The 25,347-nt window shown below is 49.6% G+C and overlaps 2 annotated features.

Annotated features, from left to right (window-relative positions):
* Positions 15,330–16,529: an enhancer, noted in NCBI's record as "CDK7 strongly-dependent group 2 enhancer chr7:155857309-155858508 (GRCh37/hg19 assembly coordinates)". NCBI's record gives its function as "activates an origin of replication core promoter dependent on BRD2, BRD4, P300/CBP, MED14 and CDK7 cofactors, with strong dependence on CDK7, by STARR-seq in HCT116 cells {active_cell/tissue: HCT116}" and the evidence as "EXISTENCE:reporter gene assay evidence [ECO:0000049][PMID:35650434]".
* Positions 16,815–18,014: an enhancer, noted in NCBI's record as "BRD4-independent group 4 enhancer chr7:155855824-155857023 (GRCh37/hg19 assembly coordinates)". NCBI's record gives its function as "activates an origin of replication core promoter dependent on BRD2, P300/CBP, MED14 and CDK7 cofactors, and independent of BRD4, by STARR-seq in HCT116 cells {active_cell/tissue: HCT116}" and the evidence as "EXISTENCE:reporter gene assay evidence [ECO:0000049][PMID:35650434]".

Below are 25,347 nucleotides of genomic sequence, written 5' to 3'. Positions count from 1 at the left end.
CGAACATCTCTGACATCATTCAGAGCCTATTCTACTTCCAAGGAGAAAGCAGCTCCGGGATACAATGTCAGGTGCACTACGAGAGAGTTTGTGTGCTCTATTTTTGCTTGGGGTGAAATAGATCCCAATGCCAGTCATGGATAATTATAGTCTGGAATATTACATGAAAATTAAAATGTGTAAAATGTCTCTCTCATTTCAAATAAATGTCAAAAACCGCACATACACTTCAGTGATGAGACTTTGGGATCAAATTGAAGCAGGCACTTTATCTCTGCCCAAAAACCAGCCCAGCCTCTCTCTGGGTTTCACAGTGCTGCGTTTTCAAGGACAGATGTTTGAAAGCTCCCGATGTTTGGCTCCTGCAAAGCCATATTTGGGCAGAGGAGGGCACAGCACAGAGAATCTCATTTATTCACTGGCAGCATTCACACTTATCAAAAACAGAAAGTTCAAATTCAGGCCATGGGCAGTTAATAGCTTCAAGAAAAACTGATATTCAACTGAAGAGAAACAATTTCTTTTTTAATCTGTTGGAGAGGATCAATACAGTCCATCGCAAGCCTGGAAAATTATACTCTCACATTTTCTTGGTGTCCTGAAAGTTGAAGTAAAAGCATTTGCTGAGCACAGCCTCGTTCCTGTAATAACAGTCCCTACATTACTACCTCTAGTTCCTAGGGTGAGGTACCCAGGCAGAGGGACCCTCTCCCTTAGAGACTGAGACGCTCCCAGAAATTCTATCCTTATTCTCATGGCTGCAAATTAAAATGTGAATTTTCTGGAAGAGGAGAGGCTGTGGCGGGCCTTGTGGGGCTGCTGGGAAGCTGGTGTGGCTGTGGACAGGTGACTGGGGGGGCCCGTGTCCTCGTCCAAGGGAAGGAAGGGGCTTGAGCCGAATGTCCTTCCCGTCTCAGGTGCCTCGATGCCAGGGAGTACGTGCTGCCGGTCACTTCTGTCCTCTGGGGACTCCTAGTAGCTACAGCAAGTCTGACACAAGGAGGGAAGAAGGACCAAGTCCACTGTGAGGGGCTGGCTGCCCCGAGGGAGGTGGTGCTGGGGGTGGGGTGGGGTGGGGATGGGGGAGGCAATGACGGGGGTGGCGGGAGGAGGCAATGCAGGGGTTGGGGTGGGGGTTGTGGGGGAGGCGATGCTGGGGGTGGGGTTGGGGTGGGGGCAGGTGATGCCGGGGGTGGGGTGGGGGTGGGGGTGGAGGGAGGCAATGCTGAGGGTGCGGTGGGGATTGGTGGGGAGGCGATGCCAGGGGGGCGTTGGGAGTGGGAACGGGCTGTGTTTCAAGTGTCTTCTGTTCTGTGGTTTTCCTGGGGGGTCCCTGGTTCCTCCATCCAGACACACACACACACACACACACACACACACACACACAGCTTAAAGGAAGGGCTCTCAGAAGAGGGGAAGGGGCAGGGAGAGCACAGACCCCAGGGGAGACATTCATACTTCCTTTCATCTAACGCCCCTCTCAAATAAAAACAAATTAGATTCCATTTCCTGGCACTAACTTTCGGAAATCAGGTGTTGCACTGCTGACCTCTTTTCGTCTGAGGAAGGGGAGGGTCCTCAGGAAGCAAATCATAAGGGATAGTAGCCTGAGGGTGCACTGGCCCCGAATCAGCTGACCTGGTGGTTTGTCGGGAGGAGCTGTGAGTGGATCTAGAACGAATGGGGAGAAGGTACAGGGAGCAGATGGCGGTCGGACGAGCAGAGGTGCCCAGCGATGGAGAACGCGGCTTTGTAATGTGGCCAACGTTTCAGGCTCTGGAGGAATTCCAGCAGGGGCTGCCCATCCAGGGAGCCTGTGGGAAGCCTGAGTGTGGGGGAGCAGGCAGGTCTGCACTCTGATATCCTAATGATTCCACGGCTTCTTGGTTCAACCAGGTCTTCACCATGGGCAACGCTGCGGGCCAGAGGGAAACAAACAACCCACAGAGATTTCTTGGTTCAACCAGGTCTTCACCGTGGGCAACGCTGCGGGCCAGAGGGAAACAACCCACAAAGATGAGCCCGAAGGGAGACTGGGGAGGGCACAAAAAAAAATCAGAAAAAGAATTGAACAATCATAGATGCTGAGAAAAGTGTGTTGCAGAGTTCTGTTATTCAAAACAAAACAAGAACAACGTAACTGGATCTTCTTGCTGGAGCCTGGAATGCAGGGGAACAAAAGTGACCTCACCGCTGTTGTCAACACTGGTCCAGCCTGGGCCTCTCTGTTTTAGGAGACCATTGTGAAGAATCAGGAGGGCCTAGCAAACGACCCCTAGACAGGGCTGGGAGAGGTTCACTTCAGAGTTTGGAACTTCCTTCTGGTAGAAGAGCCAGGTAAAGAATGACATGTATTATCATAAAACACGCACAGTGCAAACGTAGATGAGTATGATCTGGCTGTCCCCATCTTCACAGAAGGATGATCAAGATCAAGAATTTACCCTGCAGCAGAAAAGTTCAGCTAGAGCAGAGACCCTGCCCACAGGTCAGTGGGGCCTGGAACTAGGCCCCCAGTGAGCCCTAGGGTGGGGAGGGCATTCACCCCTCACCTTCCACCTCAGCTGGTTAAAGAGGAGAAAGAGGAAGAATTTGGGATTGCCCTGACCCCCAGGGTAGAACACACGTACCCCTCACTCTTTGATTGCCTTCCCTAACCTCTTTCAAATACTCATGCTTAATGCAAGATGATGAACTCATACTAAGTACAATTTAGATCACAGATGTTTTAATTATTTTGGTTTCAATTCAGTGATTTTTAGAAAGACATATTAGTTCAATCTTCCAATTATTCCCCGGATTTGCAAACTTAAATTTCCAACACACACCTACTTAGTGTTTGTTTAAATGCACTTCAAATTCTCAGGTTTAACTCACAGGTATCTGTAGCTCACCTGTCTCCTTGACTTCTATTCACTCTTTTTCTAGACAAAGCCTACTCAGAAACGTATGGCTCTGGCATTTAGTTATGTCAGCAATGTCCTTCCCGTCTCAGGTGCCTCGATGCCAGGGAGTCCGTGCTGCCGGTCACTTTTGTCCTCGGGGGACTCCTAGTCACTAGAGCAAGTCTGATGCAAGGAGGGAGGAAGGACCAAGTCCACTGTGAGGGGCTGGCTGCCCCGAAGGAGGTGATGCGGGGGGTGGGGTGGGGGTAGGAACATCTTACTTCCTTTCGGCAAACTCCTCCAGAGACCCTACACACAGTTTTCATACTTTATGGATTGTATATATTTGACAGCTATCTACTGCATGAAAAAAATTCACCAACTAAAACCATTTTAAACAGTGAAAATCTACTATAACCAAACTGGTTTGAAACCTCAACACCAATATAATAAGGAAAAAGCTTTTCACTGCAACGCCATTGGTTTTAAACTCACCTGAACTCCCTTGAAAATATCAGAAGGATAAGAGTTGTATTTTGCCAACTGGAAGTAGGACTGAATAGATGAAAGCATTTGGGATAGATCTGTTCACTGTTCAAGACTCTGCCACACTCACTAAAGTTTCAAATGATGCAGATATTGCTTAAAGAGCCTTGAATTAACAACCACAAAAGACAGAAGGGAAGAAACGTGATGCAAATCATTTCAAAGTACTTTCTTTGCGTTCTCAATGTCAATGTGGACACACTTTTAAAAGCATCTGCTACAGCAATGCACAGATTTTTCTTTTTTTTTTTTTTTGAGTTAGGGTTGATATAGTTTAGATATGTGTCCTCACCCAATCTCATGTTGAAATGTGATCGCCAGTTTTGGAAGGGGAGCCTGGTGGGAGGTGATTGGATCACAGGGGCGAGACCCTCATGAAGGGTTAAGCACCATCCCCTTGGTGCTGTCCTCGGGACAGTAGATGATTTCTCGAAAGATCTGGTTGTTTAAAAGTGTGTGGCACATCCCTCTCTTGCTCCCCCTCTTGCCATGTGGTAGGCCAGCTCCCTCTTTGGCTTCCCCTTCTGCCATAATTGAAAGCTTCCTGAGCCCTTACCAGAAGCCAAGCAGATGCCTGTGCCATGCTTATACAGTCTGCAGGTGCATGAGCCAATTAAACCTCTTTTATTTATAAATTAGTCAGCCTCAGGTATTTCTTTGTAGCAATGCAAGAACAGCCTAACACAAGGATCATAAATATATATTTAAAGAAATATGGTTTAAGTGTCCATAATTATATGGTGAATTAAGTTGTGCAATTCTAGAGCTATCAGCCCATTCAACAGAAAGGCTTGGAAAAATGAAGTGTTTTGCCTACAATCACAGAGCATGTTCACATCAGCATTAGGACTGAGGGAGGGTCTCCCGGCTTCCAGGCCATGAGCTCTCCCCTGGATCATATAGACCCTCAACTGAAGCTGCTGGAGCATCCCAGCACCTCACAGTGCTTTCATAGCAGGGATTCCCTGCATGAACCCCAAAGTAAGTCCTCTGGGGTGCAACTACAGCCACATCAACTGGACCTGCAGCCCATGTCGTATTAATAAATTAATTGTGTAGAGAGTTTGACAAAAATGGCTGTCAGACCTCCTGCTAAAAACTTCCAATTCAAGAAGAAATATCTGAGGTCTTTCTTGCTGGATCTCAATAGGGTAGAGTAACCTTAATTTCACAGGGCCTACTGCATGAGATTCCACAGGCCAGGTCAGACAGGGACAAGTGGTGATGAACGCTATGAAAAAGACACATTCATTCCACGGTATTCCCACCACCTCCCTGCTTACCACGGGTCACTGGTGAGCAGCAGGGTTTGAACCCTGTCAATCTGATGCCGGATCCCCCCAACCTGTGCTGGCACTGGGGGGCTCCATCACATTCTCCTGGAGTTTTCCCCAATTCCTGATGACTGTGAACTCCAGACTCTGGAGGAGAATGGTACAGAGCCTTCCAGAGCCAGGACAGGGAAAGGATTGAGAGAGGCAGCTCTAGTATCTGTCCTGTGAGCTCCTACCTCTCACAACCCGTGCAGCCTTGGGAAGCTACCCTGCCTCTCCGGGCCTCAATTTTCTCATCTGTAAAACGGGATTATAACAAAATGTGCTTTGTGTGATCGTTGTGAGGATTAAATCAAATTGTAAAGCGCCTAGATTGAGAGGCCAAGGAGGGTGGATCACGAGGTCAGGAGTTCAAGACCAGCCTGGCCAAGATGGTGAAACCTCGTCTCTACTAAAAATACAAAAATTAGCCAGACGTGGTGGCAGGCGCCTATAATCCCAGTTACTCAGGAGGCTGAGGCAGAGAATTGCTTGAACCCAGGAAGCAGAGGTTGCAGTGAGCTGACATTGCAACACCGCACTCCAGCCTGGGCTACAAAGCGAGACTCTGTCTCAAAAAAAAAAAAAAAAAATGCGCCTAGAATGATGCCTATCACGTGCTAACCACGCAGTAAATGCTGGATGTTTATATTACTGCAATTTTTTCCTCTAAAAAGTTTATGTTCTTGGAAAGAGAAGACTAATGCATCACCCAGTGAGAGAACAACATGTGAAATGACACAAAGGAAGCTGCTTTCGTTTGCAGATCAGAGGTGTGGAGAAGGCCGGGTGCTGCCAGGACCAGGGAGGGCACATGCCATGAACGCACAGATCTTTCTGAGGGTCTGCATGCCGGGAACAGGTTCGGGAATGCATGAGCGACTGTGAGCCGGGCTAGTGCCCCACAGAACAAGGGGACACGGGATCAGGTGTCAAGGGAGGATCCTGATGAGGTGGCGGAGAGAAGCACGCATGTTCCCAGCCAGGCAGGTACCAAGAGCCAAGTCCCACGAGCACCCGTGCGACCGGCCTGGGGCTGGCCATTCTGCAAGAAGAAGCCACTGTAGGAAGCTTGGGATCTGATCCAGCGCAGAGCTCCTCATTTTCAGAGAGGTGGAAGAATTGTGAGGTTCCATAAGATGACCAAGTTTAGGACAGGAGACCCTGTGGAGCCCTCCGGGCAGTTGAGATGGCGGGGTCCCGGCAGAGCAGCCGGAAGAATTGCGTGGCACATGAGAGAGCGCCCCCGCATGGCCGGGAGGTGTTCTTCTGCTTCCCAGGAGGCCGTGAGGGCAGGCTGAGGTATGACTGAGGATCTATCTGCTTGTAACATGCGAAGATGGAACAGGCCGTCTACTCTGCGGTGTGATGCGAATGAAAGAGGAAAGGCATTTCCTGCTCCCTTTCGCCTCCATCAGGGCTGAAACTCCCCCCACTGATTGAGGACCACGGGGAAAGTCCACGTTGCCTGGAGAAGGCCCCTCTGCGAGTCATGACTGTGATGTGAAGGAGCCTTTCTTCTCTGGGGGACACCAGGAGGCGAAGGCAGTGAGACTCAGAAGTGGAAAGTTCTATCAGGAAAAGGAAGCCAAGAACATCTAGAGCGGGGTGTCCAAACTTTTGGCTTCCCTGGGCCACATTGGAAGAAGAATTGTCTTGGCCACACATTAAATACATGAACGCTAATGATAGCTGATGAGCTAAAAAAAAAATCGCAAAAAAATCTGATAATGTTTTAAGAAAGTTTATAAATTTGTGTTGGGCCGCATTCAAGTCCTCCTGGGCTCCGTGTGGCCTGCGGGCCACGAGTTAGACGAGCTTGCTCTGGAGGGAATCTGCAAGGTCAGAAACGGGGGTTGAGGGGATGAAGGTGTTGGGAGGAGAACTGTGCAGCAGGGAGCTAGGAAAGAACCCCAAAGATGATAAATTCAGGTGGGAAAAAGCCATTTATTCCTGACATTGCCCACAGCTGGTGACGTAACGGCTCCCAAGAGGCCTATGCCTTTCATTCCACTTAAATAAACACCCTTTCATCATCATCTCCTCCAACTCCGAGTTCTACGCAGGGCTCCCTCCAAGTGGCGTTTTAATTCTCACAGCTCCGTAAGAGAGCAAAGGCAGGTAGGGGCTGCTCCATGGGTCCGGAGGCAGAAACACACTCAGCCCAGCCCTGGGCGCCCCTCAGGCCCCACACCCAGGACGGGGTAGGCAGGAAAAGCCCCGGGTTGGGTGTCTTCTCTAGCACCACAACCATCAGGAAATCTCGAGAATGAAAGAAGAGATTATTTTTAAGAAACAAAAATTACTTTTAAAAACTATTTTCTCCATTGTACAGATCAATTACTTGATTTCTCAGTAGGAATATGGCCTTGAAATACACATGTAGATGAGAAAACCGTTCAGGTCACATTTACATCACTTTCGGATCTATAAATTGCATACATATCTGTGATGGACCACAAAGGAAGTAATTACATTTGTTTTACTTGTTAAGAGTCTGAAAGAGCACTTATTGTGGGGAATGAACCCAATACTGGCAGAGCGCTCAAAACAGTGCTGGGAATGTACTAAGTAGCCAAGCAACGAGCTCGCGAGTTTCCCCCATACACAGGAAATTCAAAGTGAAAACACAGCTTCTTTCTAACTTATGCTAAAATAATTGCTCCAGGTAAAAACGGAGCTAGGACAGGTGTGAGTGTGGCTGTGGATGTTTTCTACAGGCCTTGCTTCAGCTGCACGAAGACCTCAGCAAGTGGCCCACCCCGCCCTGCTCTGACACCTGGGCTGAGGCTTCAGGCACTCACTGGTCGCCAGGAAGCAGCAAGTCCCACTGTGAGGGCTAAGCATGTTCATTAGAAAACTGGCACCAGTTTGTGTTTGCTTATTCAGCTGAGCCATGTTCCCTGTAAACCAGGCTTGGGTGTTGGGAAAGCTGCTGATAGCCGGAACTGTTCTGTTCTGTGTCCCTGTGTCCAGCCTCCTTCCTGCATCCAGCTCCCATTTGCCTCGCTGCCCTGTCCACGAGGACACCCAGAGCCTCTTGCCCAGGGCTCCAGCGAGTCTGCTGTTCCCTCCTGGGAAGTGAGGATCTAAGCTCCAACCTCTGGGCCTTCCTGAAGGACCCTCCAATTCTCCCACTGGTCTCCTCCTGGTAGCTGCCTGAAGGGGACGAGATCTGTCTACTGATCCCAACACTATGCTGACTGCTGATATTGTTTTATGTATGATCCTTCCCGTTCGCATCTCCCAGGAGGGTGTGTGAGGGAGAGCAGGGCTCTATAAGAATGAGATTCTAGACAGGTGAGTGGAAGAACTTTTGTAGACTGGAAGGCTCCTCTAAGGTTTCAAATCCACCGCCTGCCCTCTGTGCCAGCAGCCAGGCTGGCTGACTCAAAGTCTTCTAGACCTGCACTAATACAGTAGCCATGAATCACATGTAACTCTCCAAACTTATATTTACACTAATCAAAATTTAAATAAAATCAAAACTTTTAGTGTTTCCATCACACAAGCCACATTCAAAGGGATTGAGGTCCACATGTGGCTACTGCACTCACCCAAATCTCATCTTGAATTGTAATCCCCATAATCCGCACATGTTGTGGGAGGGACCCAGTGGGAGGTAACTGAACAATGGGCGTGGTTTTCCCCACGCTGTTCTCATGACAGTGAGTGAGTTCTCATGAGAGCTGATGGTTTTATAAGCATCTGGCATTTCCCCTGCCTGCACTCATTCTCTCTCCTGCCACCCTGTGAAGAGGTGCCTTCCGTCGTGATTGTAAGTTTCCTGAGGCCTCCCCAGCCATGTGGAACTGTGAGTCAATTAAACTCTTTTCTTTATAAATTACCCAGTCTCGGGTATTTCTTCATAGCAGTGTGAGAGTGGACTAATACACCCACCATCTTATAATCCTGCTGGACAGAGAATGCCTTACCCCAGGCTGCTATAACAACCACCAGTGCCTGTGTGGCTTAGACAACAGACGTTATTTCTCACGGCTCTGGAGACTGCAAGTCCAAAATCAAGGCGACAACAGATTCAGTTGTTGGTGAGGGCTCTCTTCCTGGCTTGCAGACAGCCACCTTCTTGCTGTGTCCTCACATGGCTGAGAGAGAGAGAGCTTTGGTTTCTCTTTTCCTTCTTTTTAGGACATGGGTCCCATGATGGGGGCCCCAGCCTCATGTCCTTGTAGAACCCTGATTACTTCCAGAATGCCATGTCTCCTAATATCATCACTTGGGAGGTCAGGGTTTCAACATAGGAATCCTGGGGACCCCAACCTTCCATCTGTGACAGATAGGCAATATTGGCTCTAGAGGATCAACACCCCGGAGTCTATTTAGTATGTACATGTAAGAGACCAGTGCCCATTCAGTTAGGGACCCATGGGTTCCTATAGGACTTGATTCCCACGGAAAGTTACTGTTGTGGCACTGCTGTCCCCATTTGCACGTCCTTGTGCCATGGCACAGTCACCTTCCCCGGTCTGAAAAACGCTGATGGTACACCCACGGGGCCTGGACAGTTCGATGCAGCCTAATGAGGCCACGGGTTGAAGATTCGTCTGAGGCACCTGTCTCCTGAAGTCAGCCTGTCAATCCCAGGTTGTTTTGTCTGCCGCGAGGCATGGATAGAGCCCCCAGGGTCTGAAAGGCAAACCACTAACAAAAGCCCCAGGACAGCTTCGGTTCCAGCCTCATTCTGCCTGGACCCAAGTTTTGGTTCATTAACCCTGAAACGTTTCCTTCACAGAAAGCTGGTGGCAGGCAATAAACATGCCGGGGGTGCCCTTGCCTGTAGACTGTAGACGAGAGAGACAGCTCAGGCCAAGGCTTAGTTCTGAGACATTCAGAAAGGAAATGGTGATGTTGAGAGACGGCCACACTTCTGTGACTGGGGACTCGGGCAGCCACACTCCTAAGTCATTTTTAGTTTTAAAATGAGTGTTTAACATCCATCGTGGCCTTACCTGCCTTTCTCTTTGCTGAGGGTAACTGCACAGTACCAGCCATGCGGTTTACAATTGGAGAGCGCTCCAGAAAGTGCCCGACTCAGCCCTGCCCACCCCTGTGGGTCAGGCATCCTGAGACCCCCATGTCCATTCATAAACTGAGGCTCAAGCATGGTAAGGATTTGTCTGGGGTTGCCTCAAATATAATTTGTGGGCTGGGGGATCTGGGACCTGCCATCTGACATCGATGACCCCGATCCCACCCCCTACCCCCACAGCTTGAATAAGAATATTTCTGAGAGCTATTGCTGGCTTGCAGGTTCCAAAGGAGGGGCGGGACCTCTAGTCTCAAGGTAGCCAATGGAGCACTTGCGTCACCTCCCTGTCTTCCCAAGTTCATGTTGAATGAAACAAGAAAAGCACAATGATAGAAAAGAAATTTTTGATAAATTCTTGGAAAATAGGAAGCATGAGCAACCAGCCTGAAAAAAACAGAGAGAACAGAGGAAACCACAGAGCAAGGACTCCAGAGGTGAAGGGAGTCTCTGGGAGATCCAGACACAGAAAGAAGAAAGGACCTCAAGACCAGGATGCGGGGCGGGGCAGCCAAGAACCTTTGTGCAGGACTCTCACACAGAGCAGCTTGGGTGCACCACTGTCACTTAGTTGGAAGTAGCTTGGTTTTTCTCAGGTTGAACTCAAGGGCCAGCTCCCACAGGGAAGGATGAGGTCTGCCCTGGGGGGTGATCCTGGGAGGGACAATCAGAGCAGAACTTGCAAGGCTCAAGGCCACTGCAGGAAGGGAGGGGAGGCGGCCCGGCCTAGGAATGAAGTCACCCGCCTGCTTTCAGAGAAGGCAAACACACCCCTTCCATCCAACTGGAGGTGACTTTGCAGTGGACCTGACAACTGCAAAAGATGCCCCAAGTATCTCCCAACATTGAAAGAGATCATCCCTTCTGTGATGGTGAATATAAGATGACAATTTGATTGGATTGAAGAATATCTAGATAGTTGGTAAAGGATTGTTTCTGCGTGTGTCTGGGAGGGTGTTGCCGGAGGACACTGACATTTGCGTCGGTGAACTGGGAGAGGACAACCCACCCTCAGTGTAGGTGGGCACCAATCCAGCATGGCCAGAACGAAGCAGGTGGAAGAAGGTGGGAGAAGCCGGCCTGCTGGGTCTTCTGGCTTTCATCTTTCTTCCGTGCTGGATGCTTCCTTCTGCTCCTCTTGCCCTTGGACATCAGACTGTAGGTTCTTTGGCCTTTGGCCTTGGACTTATGCCAGTGGCTTGCCAGAGGCTCTCGGACCTTCACCCACAGACTGAAGGCTACACTGTTGGCTTTGCACTTTTGAGGCTTTGGGACTTGGACTGAACCATGGCCTATTGCGAGACTTTGCCTTGTGATTGTGTGAGCCAATTCTCCCTAATGAACTCCTTTTCATATATACATACATGCTATTAGTTCTGTGCCTCTGGAGAACCCTGACTAACACAGACACCTTCACTCACAATTATGAACCCCAAACCAAGGTCAGCAGGCATTTGGTGAAAGCAAGAGCATGAGAAAGGAGCAAGATGAGGAAAGAGGAACTCAGCATAGAAAGTAGAGAGGACACAGAATGAAAAAGAACTTTAGAAAGCTCCAGGACGGGCACAGTGGCTCAAGCCTGTAATCCCAGCACTTTGGGAGGCCAAGGCAGACAGATTGCCTGAGGTCAGGAGTTGGAGACCAGTCTGGCCAACATGGTGAAACTCTGTCACTACTAAAAATACAAAAAAAAAAAAAATTAGTTGGGCATGATGTGCGCTTGTAATCCCAGCTTCTTGGGAAGCTGAGGCAGGGGAATTGCTTGAACCAGGGTGGTGGAGGTTGCAATGAGCCGAGATCATGCCACTGAACTCCAGCCTGGGCAACAGAGTGAGACTCTGTCTCAAAAAAGAAGAAAGAAAGAAAGGAAGGAAGGAAGGAAGGAAGGAAGGAAGGAAGGAAAGAAGGAAGGAAGGAAGGAAGAAACAAAGAAAGAAAGGGAAAGAGAGAAAGAGAGAGAGGGAAGGAGGGAGGGAGGAAGGAAGGAAGGAAGGAAGGAAGCTCCACCCGCCTTCCCAGAAAGACCAGAGAAGATACAGCACCCATGAAACAGCGGGTTCCTGTGCAAACCAGGCAGGAATTAAAAGGTGTTCCTTCATCTTAAAACACCTGCCAAAAGGAAACATTCTGTGGATAAGCTGAATAATTGAGCATAGCAGATGAGTGAGAACATCTCCCAGAACATTGTGGGGAGAAGAAAAAGAGCAAGGTGGAAAATATGAAAGAAAGTTTAAGAGACATGGAGAACAGACCAAGCAGCCTGACATTCATCGACTGGGCATTCTGCAAGAAGGCCCCGGAACACTGGGGCAGGCAGCAGGCTTCTGAAGAGCTTCGGGACTGGAGGGAAATCCCACACTCAGCATGAAGGGCCCAGGAAGAGCTGAACGGGGTTAATTCTACAAAGCTGCATATCCAGATTAATCCCTTAACATAGAAGAACTCTAGGAATAAAAATACCATCCCAAAAACTTCCAACAAGATAAAGCAACGTGAATAGAGATGGCTAATATCAGATTCCATACCAGCAATGCTGAAATGAATGCCAGATATCAATAGCTCAGTGTCCTGAACATTTCTTTGCATAAAAATTCTTTAATATCCAAACCCTTAATCAAAGGCAAGGCATAGACTGGGTGAGGTGGCTCATGCCTGTAATCCCAGCACTTTGAGAGGCCGAGTGGGGGCGGATTGCCTGAGGTCAGGAGTTTGAGACCAGCCTGGCCAACATGGTGAAACCCCGTCTCTACTAAAAGTAGCCAGATGTGGTGGTGAATGCCTGTAATCCCAGCTACTCAGGAGGCTGAGGCAGGAGAATCGCTTGAGCCTGGGAGGTGGAGGTTGCAGCAAGCCAAGATGGAGCCACTGCACTCCAGCCTAGGTGACCGAGCGAGACTCCTTCTCAAAACATACAAACAAAAAACAAAGGTAAGGAATAAATATAGACATTTTCAAAATTCAGAAAATTCACTTTTGTGAAAAAAAAATGGGGAGAGGAGAACTATTTTAGCAAAAGGAGAAGAGACCAAGAGAAACAAAGGGATTGGAGGCACAGATGCCCTGGAGTGTGACTTAATCAAAGAAAGACTAGATAGAAATTTCTTATAAAGTCATTAGATCTTAATGCTTAGAAAAGTGTCCAAAATGAGTAACTTTACATGATCTTCATCCTAGGAATGATTTCTATTGCCTTTGATTATTGAAGACATCTTGTAGTCAAACACATATCGTGACAGAAAGTAAATGTAGTAAGACATGATGAAGCAACAATCTTCATGTAACAACCAGACCCTGAGAAGCAAAGCTGCATGGAGAAATGGGAGGAAGGGAGCTGCTCTTCCTTCTTCCCTTCTCGTGGCTGGGTGTCAATTCTTGCTGACCAAAGTTGGCAAATCAAGGAATGGATGTTTACATATAATACAATCATGAGAACAAGTCAAACAGCTGAAAACAATAATACAACTGAAGAAAGTTGGGATGTGCTGGTGGCAAAGAGAAGCAGGAGGCGGTGTAATAGTGACAGTGAACGTTTATGCTGTGCTTGTGCCCGCTGGGCCCTGTTCTGCTCTATGCATCATCACATCGTCAATTCTCATAATAATCCTATGGCATGGGTGCTGCACATATGGAAACTGAGGCACCACCATATAACTTGTCCAAAAAGCAAGCAACTAGTAACTTAGCTACATTCATCTTGCACAGTGCAGAATCCATAGACACTGTCTACGGTTGGTCATGTTGCTGACGCCATCACGCCCCAGGGACTTCTCTCACTAAGACCATCTCTGAGCTCCATCCAGGGTGGCCCTCCCAGCGTCAGTCATCACAGCCCATCAGCCTCGCTGAACACAGCTGGTGCCCCCTCGACACAACTCACTGCCACTGCCGCTGGCCTCCTAGCTCCTCTTCTCTCCCTGCTTGAGAGGGCCCCTCTTCCAATCATGGAGTGGCCCAGGACCAGCCATCTGCATTCACCCTTCAGTGGGACTGGTGACCTCATGTGGACTTTAATGCCATTTGCCAGCCACAGCCCCCATTTCGGATCTCCAGTGTCATCCTTTTCAAAGCCCCGCAGGCATATGTCCAGTTGCCCATGTGACCTAACAGAGCATTCACGCTCAACACCTCCAAAGCCCTACTCGTGCTCTGAACCTCACCTACCTTGTTCTGCACACCACGTACCGCACCTCAGGTGATGGCAGCTCCATCGCTCCCGATGGTCATCTCACGGGGGATCCTGCTGGATCTACCTTTGAAACACACTCCAAGTCAAACTTGCCATCTCTGCGGTGAGCTCCCTGGCATTAGCCTTCGTCCCCTGCCGGGGTTGACCTCCCCGAGTTGTCCCCATCTCTACTTCCTGCACAGACTGCTTCCTGTGGTCTATTCTCAAACCAACAGTCAAGGTGGCTCTTAAGACCTCAGTTACATGGTTCCTTCCTCTGCTCACGTGTCCACCACTCACTCTGCATAAAAGCCATGGACTTGCAAGGACCTAGCTGAGCTGCCTCTCCCTCCCTGGCCCTCTGACCTCCTTCCTGATTCTCCCTCCGCAGAGACTGTGCCAGCTTCCTCGCTGCCTCTCTGCATGCCTGGCCGTGGGATGTTGGTGGCTCCCTCTCCCCAGAGCTTGGTTCGTTCCTTCACTTCCTAAAAACCTTTACTCAAATGTCCTCTTCTCGATGAGGCCTCTGCTGCTCACCCTACTTCATACTGCAGCAACCACCTAACCGTGTGCTACTTCTCTTTCTATCCACGGCACTTACCACCTCCCAAGAAGCCAAATAATTTGGTCGTTTTTAAGAGGCATGAGTTTATTATCCATCCTATCCCCCTCCCTAGTAGAATGTCCGCTCCAGAAGAGCATGAGCCCTTGCCCGTTGGACCCTGAGTTCCCAGAATACCATCTGGCATACACTAGGCGTCTGATACATGCTCCTAATGGGTGAATGAGCTCTCCCTGGTCTCCATGACTCCCACGGCGCATCCTAGGCCAACCCTTATGGCCAGTGGGGTAGAGTTCTCCCATTGTCCGGAGCTGGGGCTCCAGGATGCGGTCAGTGTAACCCCAACCACGTGGAATGAGGATGAGGATGGAATGGCCCCACTCAAATGGGCCACCATGCAGCCCTCGGGGGATGAGAAGAGCTTGAATAAGCTGAAAGTAGGAAAGTCCACAGGAATGGGTGAAATGAGTAACAAAACAGCTACCTGGAGCATGAGTGCCTGTGGGGTGCTCACACATGCATGCACGTTCTTAACACCCGATCAGCTGTCTGAAAGGATGCATTCAGAGCTGCCAACAGAAGCTCTCTCTGGGATATGGGATTAGGAAACCTGGAGGGAAAACAAGAGTTTTGTGCCCACCTGTGAACTCTTTGGTAATTTTTACAATAAGCATGAATTATACCGAAAATAACTTGTTTAAAGTGTGTTCTGGGGAGGAGGGCTGAAGCTAGATGATCTGAACCCAAATCACTCCTTTCCCTCCTTTAAAGATTGACGGGGAGTTGTGAAGAAGCTTGGCTCATGTACAGGTTACCCCTGATCTACCCAGATTAAATTGAGACATGGACTGAAATCTCTGAAACACCCATAGAGGTATTTCCGGCCCAACCCCATGGAATTGATCTTTCAATAGTGGATGCATGCACAATCAGGGACCCTGGGACTCTCAGGTGGTTTGGATGAGGCTGCACGGAGGAGACACCTGGCTTCAGCCATGCCTGGAACACACCCCTTGGCTCTTCCTGGCTTCCTCACACCAACAGGCTCCAGGCAGCCACTCAAAGCAACTGCAAATGTCTAGTTCACTTTCAATTCCTAGTTCACTTCTTCCATTCAGAAAGAAATCATATTTGCTAATCTTCTCCATAAACATGTATTACAATCTTGGGATTTTATCAAACCGTGTACACAAAGTAATTACAGGAAGAATAGTGCACTATTTGCATATCTAGTATTTAAAGGGTTACTTATGTAATTATTGAATGTAACTTAGAATAAGCTGTTTGATTCCCTTTCATCGTGAGCCAAACATTGGGCTTTGAAAGGAATTCCTTTAAACTTCAATAATGTAAAGGCACATGGTAATGTGAAGTTACAACTCTAGCTTAAGTGAGTCAGACATGAAAGTATTTATGGCTGGTATTCTGTGAGTAAGTTAACTTTAGACAGTTTAAAAAAGAAGTCAAGTATCTGTTGCTCTTGGTAGACACAGGATGTTATGAGCAATTAACAATTCCTGTCCTCACTTTCAGACAGCGTCCAGTCCTCCCTGGCTTTTGTTGGTTTAAGCTTCCAGCATAACAAACCTCACTGTGCCGTCAGCACCTGAAACAAGTAAAAGCAATTCCTTTATTGACTCCCGCCAGACATTTGCCTTTTGAAACTGACACAGAAAGGGGAGGGCGAGGGGAGAGGAGAAAGAAAAATGAAGAAGGCAATAAGAAACTTAACCCAGTGGGTGGAAAGCATCACACGTGAGAGAGAGATGGAGAAATGAATCCAATGTTGTTTTTTCCTGATGAGAAAGCCGGTCAGGTCTCAGCCTTGTTCAAACTGGAGGCCGTGTGGTCAGCATTCGCTTGGCCACAAGTGTTTTCCATAACGAGGCAGCTATGAGCCCAAGGATCCACAGGGACTGAAAGGCACCTGGAACGCTCATGAAAAGGACCCTCTTAGGACAGCTCAGCACATTCACCTAGCTCGACCTGACAGGCAAGAGCTGGCTCAGCTGGGAAATCGCGTCCACTCTCCAGTTCACGACACGCAGGAGCTGGTTTGGGCTAAGGCTGCAATTCACACACACACACACACACACACACACACACACACACACACACTGCTCTACTTAAAAGTTTTCAACAAGAACTTAAATCTAAGTGCTGAAGAGAAGGAGCAAGGTTGAAAGGGGTTGGATCTGAACTTTGATGTGAGCATCCCAGCTCTTTTGGACAGCAGCCATATCTTTGATCCTACACAGACTGTTAAGAACCAAGTGTCTTGACCTGATCGGTTGAAGTATCACAAATTTTACAGTTATTTCCAGGTTAAGTTAGCTTGCAGGTGATTAATCGTGGGATAAAATGACAAGGAGGACAGTCTTAAGAATTCCCCTAGCTAACAAAGACATTTAAATAAATTAAATGAGTCCCAGTGTGTTGAAAAACTTGAAGTTATTTCCCTGACATTCATTTGACATCTGGTAATAACCTTTAATATTTTCAAAGTATTTGCTCTTCCTTTTCAGATGTGCCAGGGAGCTTTCTGAGCCCCTGGCTGTGTTGCTCTGTGATGTCAGCCTCCTTTTTGACATGTGCAAAATCAGCTGTTATAAAAAGAACACAGGGCTGGAAATCAGGTGGCTTGCATTCTGCACTCCACACCAACTCCGAGACTTTGGGTAAGTTACTTTACCTGTAAAATGAAAGGGCAGAAACTAGACGGGTTCTGAGACTCCTTGGAGCCCTGTAATTTTAAAATTCTTTATCACCTAGCACGTCAAGCCTTGTTTCCATTGAGGATTTTAATCTTGGCTGCACTTTTTGAAGGTGGGGAGCTTTAAAAATAGATGCTTATGCCTGGGCTGCCAGCAGATTTTCTGGGTGAGTCTTGGGCATTGTTTGAAAAGCCACTCGGGTGACTCCAATGCTCAGCCAAGATGGCGGACCAGGTAAGAGGGGTGTCATTATGAACGCGGTGGAAACCGGGAGCAACGGTTATTGCTCAGGCATACCGGGCACCCAGCACTGGCCCTCGGAGCAGCGCGGTGGAAAGGGAAGCAGAGGTCACGGTCTGAGCAGAAGCTTCCCTGTCCGCAATCTCTCCCACGTGGCAACAGCCTCTCCCCAAGTTCTCATCATCTGGTAGGGCCCAGCCAGGAGAGCTCACGGCCCGGCGCAGAGGGGCTGGCCAAGAGGCGGTGCTTGGAGTCATTTCCGGGGACGAATATGCTTGACTCGGTGAGAGGCGCTCTCTCTCTTTCCCCCTTGAGACCACTCTCGGTTCGGACCGTCTAAGCCTGGCCATTATTTCCTACTATTAAGACGGAATGCCTACCTGAGAACAAGGACAAACAGAGGAAGGCCAAGCGGACGCATGGAACTCCGGAAACATTGGTTGAACATCTGGAACCAGATGCACCTGCAGCCATCTCCCCGTGAACTTCTCAAGGCCTCAAGATACTCCTTCCTGCCCTTAAGAAAGAGGAGTAAGGCTTCTGCCACCTGCCTCTGAGGGACTCCTGATAAAGACAGCAGCCTGTCTGGAGAGACCCGTCTCACGCTCTCACTTTTTGACACACTTTGTCATTTTTGGAGAACAAGATAGATCATGCTGAACAATCGAGGAGGAAGGCGTCTGTGATCCTTCGTGTCCGCCACAGTCTGACCTTCTCTGCCGAGGACCGTCCCGGACCTGGGAGCTCGTCAGAAATGCAGAATCTCAGGCCCCATCCCACACCTACTGAATCCGAATTTCCATTTAAACAAAATTCCCAGGTGAAGCCCGTGCACATTAAAGTCTGGGAAACGCTGCTCTATACAATCCATGTGGCCAAATGACTGGCCCAGAGAATTAGGAATATGTGCAGCAAAACCCTATTATCATCAATTCCAAGGGGCAAAGAACTCATCCGTCTTTACGTGGGGAAAATAGCACAGGATGTCAGCCCTGAAACTGGGTCGCCTTTGTGGGGATTTGGGGATTTGAATTCTGCAAGGAGGGATCAGGGAAGGCAGATGTGGTGGAACGTACTCTGTTCCATTCGCAAAGAAGTCTGTTCCGTGCACCTAGAGGTGCCTCCTGAGCAGATGAGAGAACCATAGAGACGTCTCAAGCCCCCAGGGCAGGGGACCATTGAGCTGAGCCGCCGGCACACACGTGGCCAGCCCCATCTGGAGCACCACTGTTTTGAGGGTCCTCCCCCGAATGGCAATCCAGAGCCCACAGAAAACACAGCCACTTACAGGCCACTGCAGGAGCAGGGGGAGTTGGGGTTATGGCTTAGCCCAAGAAAATGCTGCACCCCAAGTGTGTGAGAAAAAATAGGCCTTTTTGTCTGGATGCAAGTTCACAAATAGTCCAAGTACGAGGTGCCGCACTGGCAGATGGGCTCTGGCCACACAGAGTGGGAAGGGAAGAGGCTGGCCCAGGAGGGACTGCAGTGTAGAGCAGATGTGCCCTAGGATGTGGCCAGGAGGGAGGCACCAGGAAGGCAGCTCGGAAAGGGGAGGCTGGGAAGGACCAGCCCAGGAAGCACAGGTGTGGAGGGTTGAGTGTCCCGAGCTGAGGACGTCCTGTCCAGCCAGACCACAGGCCTGGAAGCCACCTTAGCGTCATGGGAGCCGAGAGACAATGAGGACACAGCCACGCAGACTCAACTCTGGAAGACCAAGCTGGAGAGGCAGGGCCAGGGTCATCAGATCTGGGAAAGGGGCCTGAGTGGGGCGGGACGGAGGGCATGTGGGGATTCCAAGGAGACCTGGTGGGACAGGAGGGCAGGCGTCCTGGCACAAAGAGCTGAGCGTGTGTCAGCCCCATGCTTCTGGCCCAGGAAAGTGAACCCCAGGGATCATGTTATTCCTGCAGTAAAAGACCATGCATGGTCCAGCTCTAGAGGCCACTGGTACACTTCCCACCACACCCCCTTGCACTCTGCACCCGCGGCGGTCTCTGAACAATCACGGTGGGCCAGGAGGACCATATCATCAGGATGTTTTCACATGGGGTTGGGGTGGGAAGTGGGAACAGGTCTCATGTCCACAGTCAGGGAACCATAGGAAACCCCTACTCATCCCAGGGCAAGCAAGAGTGTCCCGGAGCCACAGATTAATAGCAGCTGCCACAACCCTCCCTGTGCCCACCCTATAACCCCCAAGCACACATGCACAGCCGACACACACACTCAAACAGATTCATGCACAGCACACATGCACATAGAAACATGTATACACATGTTTGCACACACAGACACACAGAGACACACATACACACGTGTGCAGACAGACACAGAGACACATACACATGTGTGTGCACACAGAGACATACACGTGTGCACACAGAGACACACAGAAACACATACACACGTGTGCACGGTGCACACATACACAGAGACACATACATACGTGTGCAGAGACACAAATGTGCACATACACACACACGTGTGCACATACACACATACACACGTGTGCACATACACACATACACACGTGTGCACATACACACACACGTGTGCACACAGACATACACACGTGCACACAGAGACACGTACACATGTGTGCACACAGACACACACGTGCACAGAGACACACATACACACGTGTGCACACACAGGCACGTGTGTACAGAGACACACACACGTGGGCACACAAGACACAGAGAGACACATACACACGTGTACACACACAGACACACAGAGACACACATACACACGTGTGCACACACATAGACACACATACACATGCGTGTGCACAGAGACATACGCACATACACACATATATGCATGCACACATGCATCACACAGAGACACATGCACACAACTGTGCACATGCATGCGTGCGCTCTGCACGTCATGACGGCTGCTCCTAGCCCTGGCTCTTCCCAGCACCTAATTTGAAGGCATCTGACATGCAGATCAGAGAAGCAGAATCTCAGGTGACGATCCAAAGTAAGCCTGGGATAAGGTCGGCCTTGTCGGCGGGTGACAGGTGTAGGGCAGGCTGAGGAATAGCGTGAGTGCTCAGGACAGCACCGTTTGGTGGTTTTGTCTGAAAGTTTTAAACCACAAGCCTTAGCTGGCCTGGAACCCCTCTGCCCGCTGCTGCCTGGAGGGAGGAAACATTGTAGCAATTTGACAGGACCAACCAGTGCACAAATACAGACGCTCTTCCAATTACCATGGGGCTACGTCCCAATAAACCCAATATAGACTGAAAATATCATCAGTCGAAACGCATGTAACATACCTAACCTACGAAACTTCGCAGCTCAGCCTCGCCTATCTTGAATGCATGCTCAGAACACTCACACTAGTCTATTGTCGGGCAGAATGCCCTAACCCAGACCGTATTTTATGATAAAGTGATGACTGTCTCAAGTAACTTCTTGAACACCATACTGAAAGTAAAAAACAGAAGGGTTGGATGGGTGCTCCAAGTACAGCTTCCGCTGGATGAGTGCCACTTTCATGCCATAGGAAAGTCGAGAGACTGCAAGTTGGACCATTGTAAGTCAGGGACCACTTGCATTCTCTGCTGAGGACAAGGGGTGGCTAGGAAACAGGCACCCCCACACCTCCAGAGAACTCTCAGTTTTGTGGAAGATGAACCAGCTCCAAGACACCAGGGCAGATGTGTGGCTTGACGGGGACAAGCATGCGTTGCCCGCGGTTCAGTGTCAGCCTAAAGTCCAGACCAGGGTCCTCTCTGTGGCTCTCCCACCTACTAATGATGCTACGTGGCTCGGCTGGCTGAACCTCTGTGTGCCTCAGTTTCCTCATCTATCAAGTGAGCATATCCACATCTGCCTCTCCAAGTTGGGGGAAGGTTGAAGTGAGCTGAGAGCAGTGGAACAGCCGGTGGTGTGGACGGCAGCAGCTGCAATTGTGCTGGGAGTGTCACTAATGGAAGGGATGGCCATGGGAGTCACAGTTCTGGGGCAGCCCACGAGGAAGACCATGGCGATGGGGACCTGAGCAGGGCACTGAAGGATGGATAGGGTTGGGAGATTCCAAACAGGGGAATTCCAGAGCCTTCTTCACCCCGCGTGGCTGCATTGTGCAAGGGTGTGGGAGCCCGCAGAGAAGCTCTGTGGGCGGGGTGGCCTCGTGAATCTGGTTCCACCTCTGACAGCTTGTGGCTTCTGACGTCCCTGGGACCTCCCCACCCCTTGGTTTCTGATATCTCTGATATCAAAAGCCTGAACCAAATTCCCCAAGTTCTGTAAGGCCCCTTCCTATTCCAAGATGTTGTAAGATTACAGCATTTTAATTATCTCTGAGAGTGCCAGGTGAGTGATCCATGCCACAGATGCCTTAATAGGCCCTTCAGAGCCTGTCTGGGAAGAACAAAGATAATTTTAACTGATTTAATAAGGAAAGAAAAACATAACTAGCTTGAATTATTGACGCTTCCTTTCACCTTTTGCCAAGATAGACTTGAACTCATTTGAAAGAAAAATGTTGCTGGATTGCACAAAATACACGGAACCTGCTTTCTACTTAGCAATCTCTTTATTTTATCAATTAGGAGCGGGAAATGTAGAAAAATGTGGAAATGAGGATTCTCTGCACGGGTCACTCGGTTCCCTTAGAGGCTGATTGATGGCAGAGACTGAGACGGAGGCGTCTGCCTGCCTGAGCAGGAGATAACTGAACAGGGCCATCATGTGTCTGTGCTGGGCCTTCAACCAAGTTGGGCAACGCTGGCACGGATTTTGAATGGCACGCATCACTGCTGAGCTGTTGGCTTGCCTCTTCCACAGCCCTTCCTGCTCTGTGCTCCCAAGGACCAATGTCCCCCACTCCCCAGGTGCCTCTTCCACAGCCCTTCCTGCTCTGTGCTCCTAAGGACCAATGTCCCCCACTCCCCAGGTGCCACTGAGGGGCTTGGCTTTCTCCACATGACTCTGGGCACTGGCAAGGAACCAAACAGGGGGGACCCGAGAATCCCACTACCCCCATGGCCAGCACAGCACCAGGCACAGAGTGGCCCCAGAAGCACTGAAAGCCAAGAAGGAGTGAGAACGTGAGACAGCATCTGAACCATGAGGCATTTCTCAGGCAGCCCTTGTGCTAACTCGTCATAGAGTGATGGCGGAAATGAGATGAAGTGACTGCCTGCGTCAGCAGGAGCTTAGGCTGCCGCCCTGAGGGACTGGTAAGATTTCACTTCCTTAAGAGGAGGAAAAGGCCGGGTGCGGTGGCTCATGCCTGTAATCCCAGCACTTGGGGAGGCCAAGGCGGGCGGATCACAAGGTCGAGAGATGGAGACCATCCTGGCCAACACGGTGAAACCCCGTCTCTACTAAAAACGCAAAAATTAGCCAGGCTTGGTGGTGGATGCCTGTAGTCCCAGCTGCTTGGGAAGTTGAGGCAGGAGAATCGCTTGAACCCGGGAGATGGAGGTTACAGTGAGCTGAGATCGTGCCACTGCACTGCAGCCTGGGTGACAAAGTGAGATTCCATCTCAAAAAAAAAAAAAAAAGAGAGAGGAGGAAAAAGGGCATATGTGGGGAGGAAGGGAGAGCTCCTCAGTATTCAATGCCGTAAGGGCACTCTCCTCCTTGAAGGAAGATCCAAGATGTTCCCATTTTTAATACCAGGAATACATTAGGGTGTTAGCCACACACGTATAAAACAGAAATTGATGCTTGTGGAAGAAATAAGGCAAAGCAAAGAATCAGACATAGAGAACTGGACGCGACGCAACACAAAATCTGGTTCATCATCATCTCAAGAGTCCATTAAAATTGTTTGTATTTTCCAGTGAAAAAGTAGGCCACACCTTGGTTTTGCAGACACATATGTTTAGTTGGGTTTGCTCTGGTTGGGTTTTGACTTTCCTAATTTTTTTATATGCTTCACAATGGTTTCACAGAGAGGTAGAAACCTTTGATTTTTCCAGCATTTAGCTGCTTTCATCTGGCTCATGAATGGGTGGCCAAGCCCAAGTGTCAACTTGACAGAAACAGAGTTCACAAGTCAAACTGTTTGGACAAGAGGCCCATAAAAAACAGAATTCGGGCTTGAAAGGGATTTCCACGGAATCACAGACTTCAGAGCTGGCACTTAGCAATTACCGAGTCCAGCTAGAGCTGGAATCCAGGTGGACCTGTTGTAGCTTCTGGTGCCACAAGGGACAGATCCCCAAGTCAAAAGCAGTGTGTCATTTTGCACCATTGAAAAGTCTCCGGTCAACACCCGCTTCTGCTAGGCTGGACTCACTGCTCAAACTCTGATACTCGGCTCCAGAACCTTCTGGGATGCGGCGTCTTCTTCAGACTCCACACTGAGGCTCCTCGCGGCTCTCAGCTCTCCCCAGAAAGCAGCACCACCACCACCTTTTCGGTCCTCACTGTGCAGAGAGAGAGGAAAGGGGGTCTCTCCTACAGAAGCTGAGGAGCTTTCTTCTCAGAAGGCCCCTTGCTGTAGCCCTGTCTTCCTGAGCCAATCACTATGGCCGGGGGCAGGTGAATGGAGCCTCCGCCGTCGGGATCCGCAGTTCTCCCTTGGGGGTGGGAAAGTGGTTGGTGCCCCCTAGGCCTTCTCAAGGCAAAACTGGGGAGTCACTGCAGGGAAAAGAAGGCACCAATGCTGAAGAATCAACCCACAAACTGTTCATCTGGCAGGTTCAAGGGTTTTTCTATTTATGCTTTGCATAGTATTTTGAAATACTAACTTATTTTCCATTTTTGATTACCTCACTTTCCCAGTCTCCTCACCATTTCCCAAATCTGGGGAAGTGGAACCCTGTATTAGAGAGGTCCCCCAGCTCTGCAGTGACTGATCCACTTGGCTGTCCCGGAGCCCAGGGGAGGAGGGCAGGTAGCAAGTCCTGGTGGATGAGGAGGTCGGGTAAGTGTGAGTCTCAGCACAGGGGAAGCCCAGGGAGCCCCCAGCCCCGGCACCACCGAGGAAGGCAGAGCTGCTGAGCCTGACAAGATGGAACAGCCGCCTTTACCCCGACACCACCCAGGATGGCAGAGCTGCTGAGCCTGACAAGACGGAACAGCCACCTGCACCCCGGCATCCTCACCCCACACCCACACCTCTTCATCCCATCTAAGACTTTGGACCCAGTAAGGCCAGAGTTAAATTCTCTACCAGCCCAGAGTCTCTAAAAGCAACATGGTGAAGAGCATGCCATCCTGTGTGTGGACTCTGCTCCTGGCTCTGATGCCTACAAACTGGGTGACCCTGCCCCACTCACTTCAGCATGCGTACCTCAGTTTTCCCACCTGTAAGATGGTGGTAACATTAGTCTCCTCTTTATCTGTGATGGCTTAGCCTGGCACGAAGTGAGCTCTAAGGAAACGTTGGCTCTTATGGGGACTTCAATCCAAAATCAAGGTGAGCCATAGGCAGTAACACTCTGCCACGTTTCCTATAAAGTTAGGTTAGTAGACTGAGCCCCACTCACCCGCACTGTACCAAGCGATCTGGGGACCCTAAGGGCCTCAGACCCGGGAAGCCATTAGTAAGACACGTTTGCAGCGCACTCCGGAAGGGATGTCCATTTGCCCAACTTTAAGGGATGTCTTCTGTGTAAGTAATTAGAGACACCCGTGAGGGGAGATGCCTGACTTAATTAATATTTTCTTATAATTGACAAGGAAGTTTTCAGGCAGGAGGAAAAATAATAACCTTGATGTCAGAGACTGGGCTGGTGTGGCGAATGGATGCGGGTTACCCTGACTCTTAATTAAGGCAGATTTTACGGTGGGGTTGGGGCAAGCACCTCTGTGGATTCATTTAAAGTAAAATTTTGACAGGCAGGAAGAACTGAAGAGGTCTTGCAGTGCGCTCCTACAAAGCTAAAGGGGCCAGTGTGGCATT

This window comes from Homo sapiens, chromosome 7 (genome assembly GCF_000001405.40).
Source record: "Homo sapiens chromosome 7, GRCh38.p14 Primary Assembly".
NCBI classification, from domain to species: domain Eukaryota; kingdom Metazoa; phylum Chordata; class Mammalia; order Primates; family Hominidae; genus Homo; species Homo sapiens.
The sequence above is the reverse complement of the archived record's forward strand: the minus strand, read 5'-3'. Positions and strand labels throughout refer to the sequence as shown.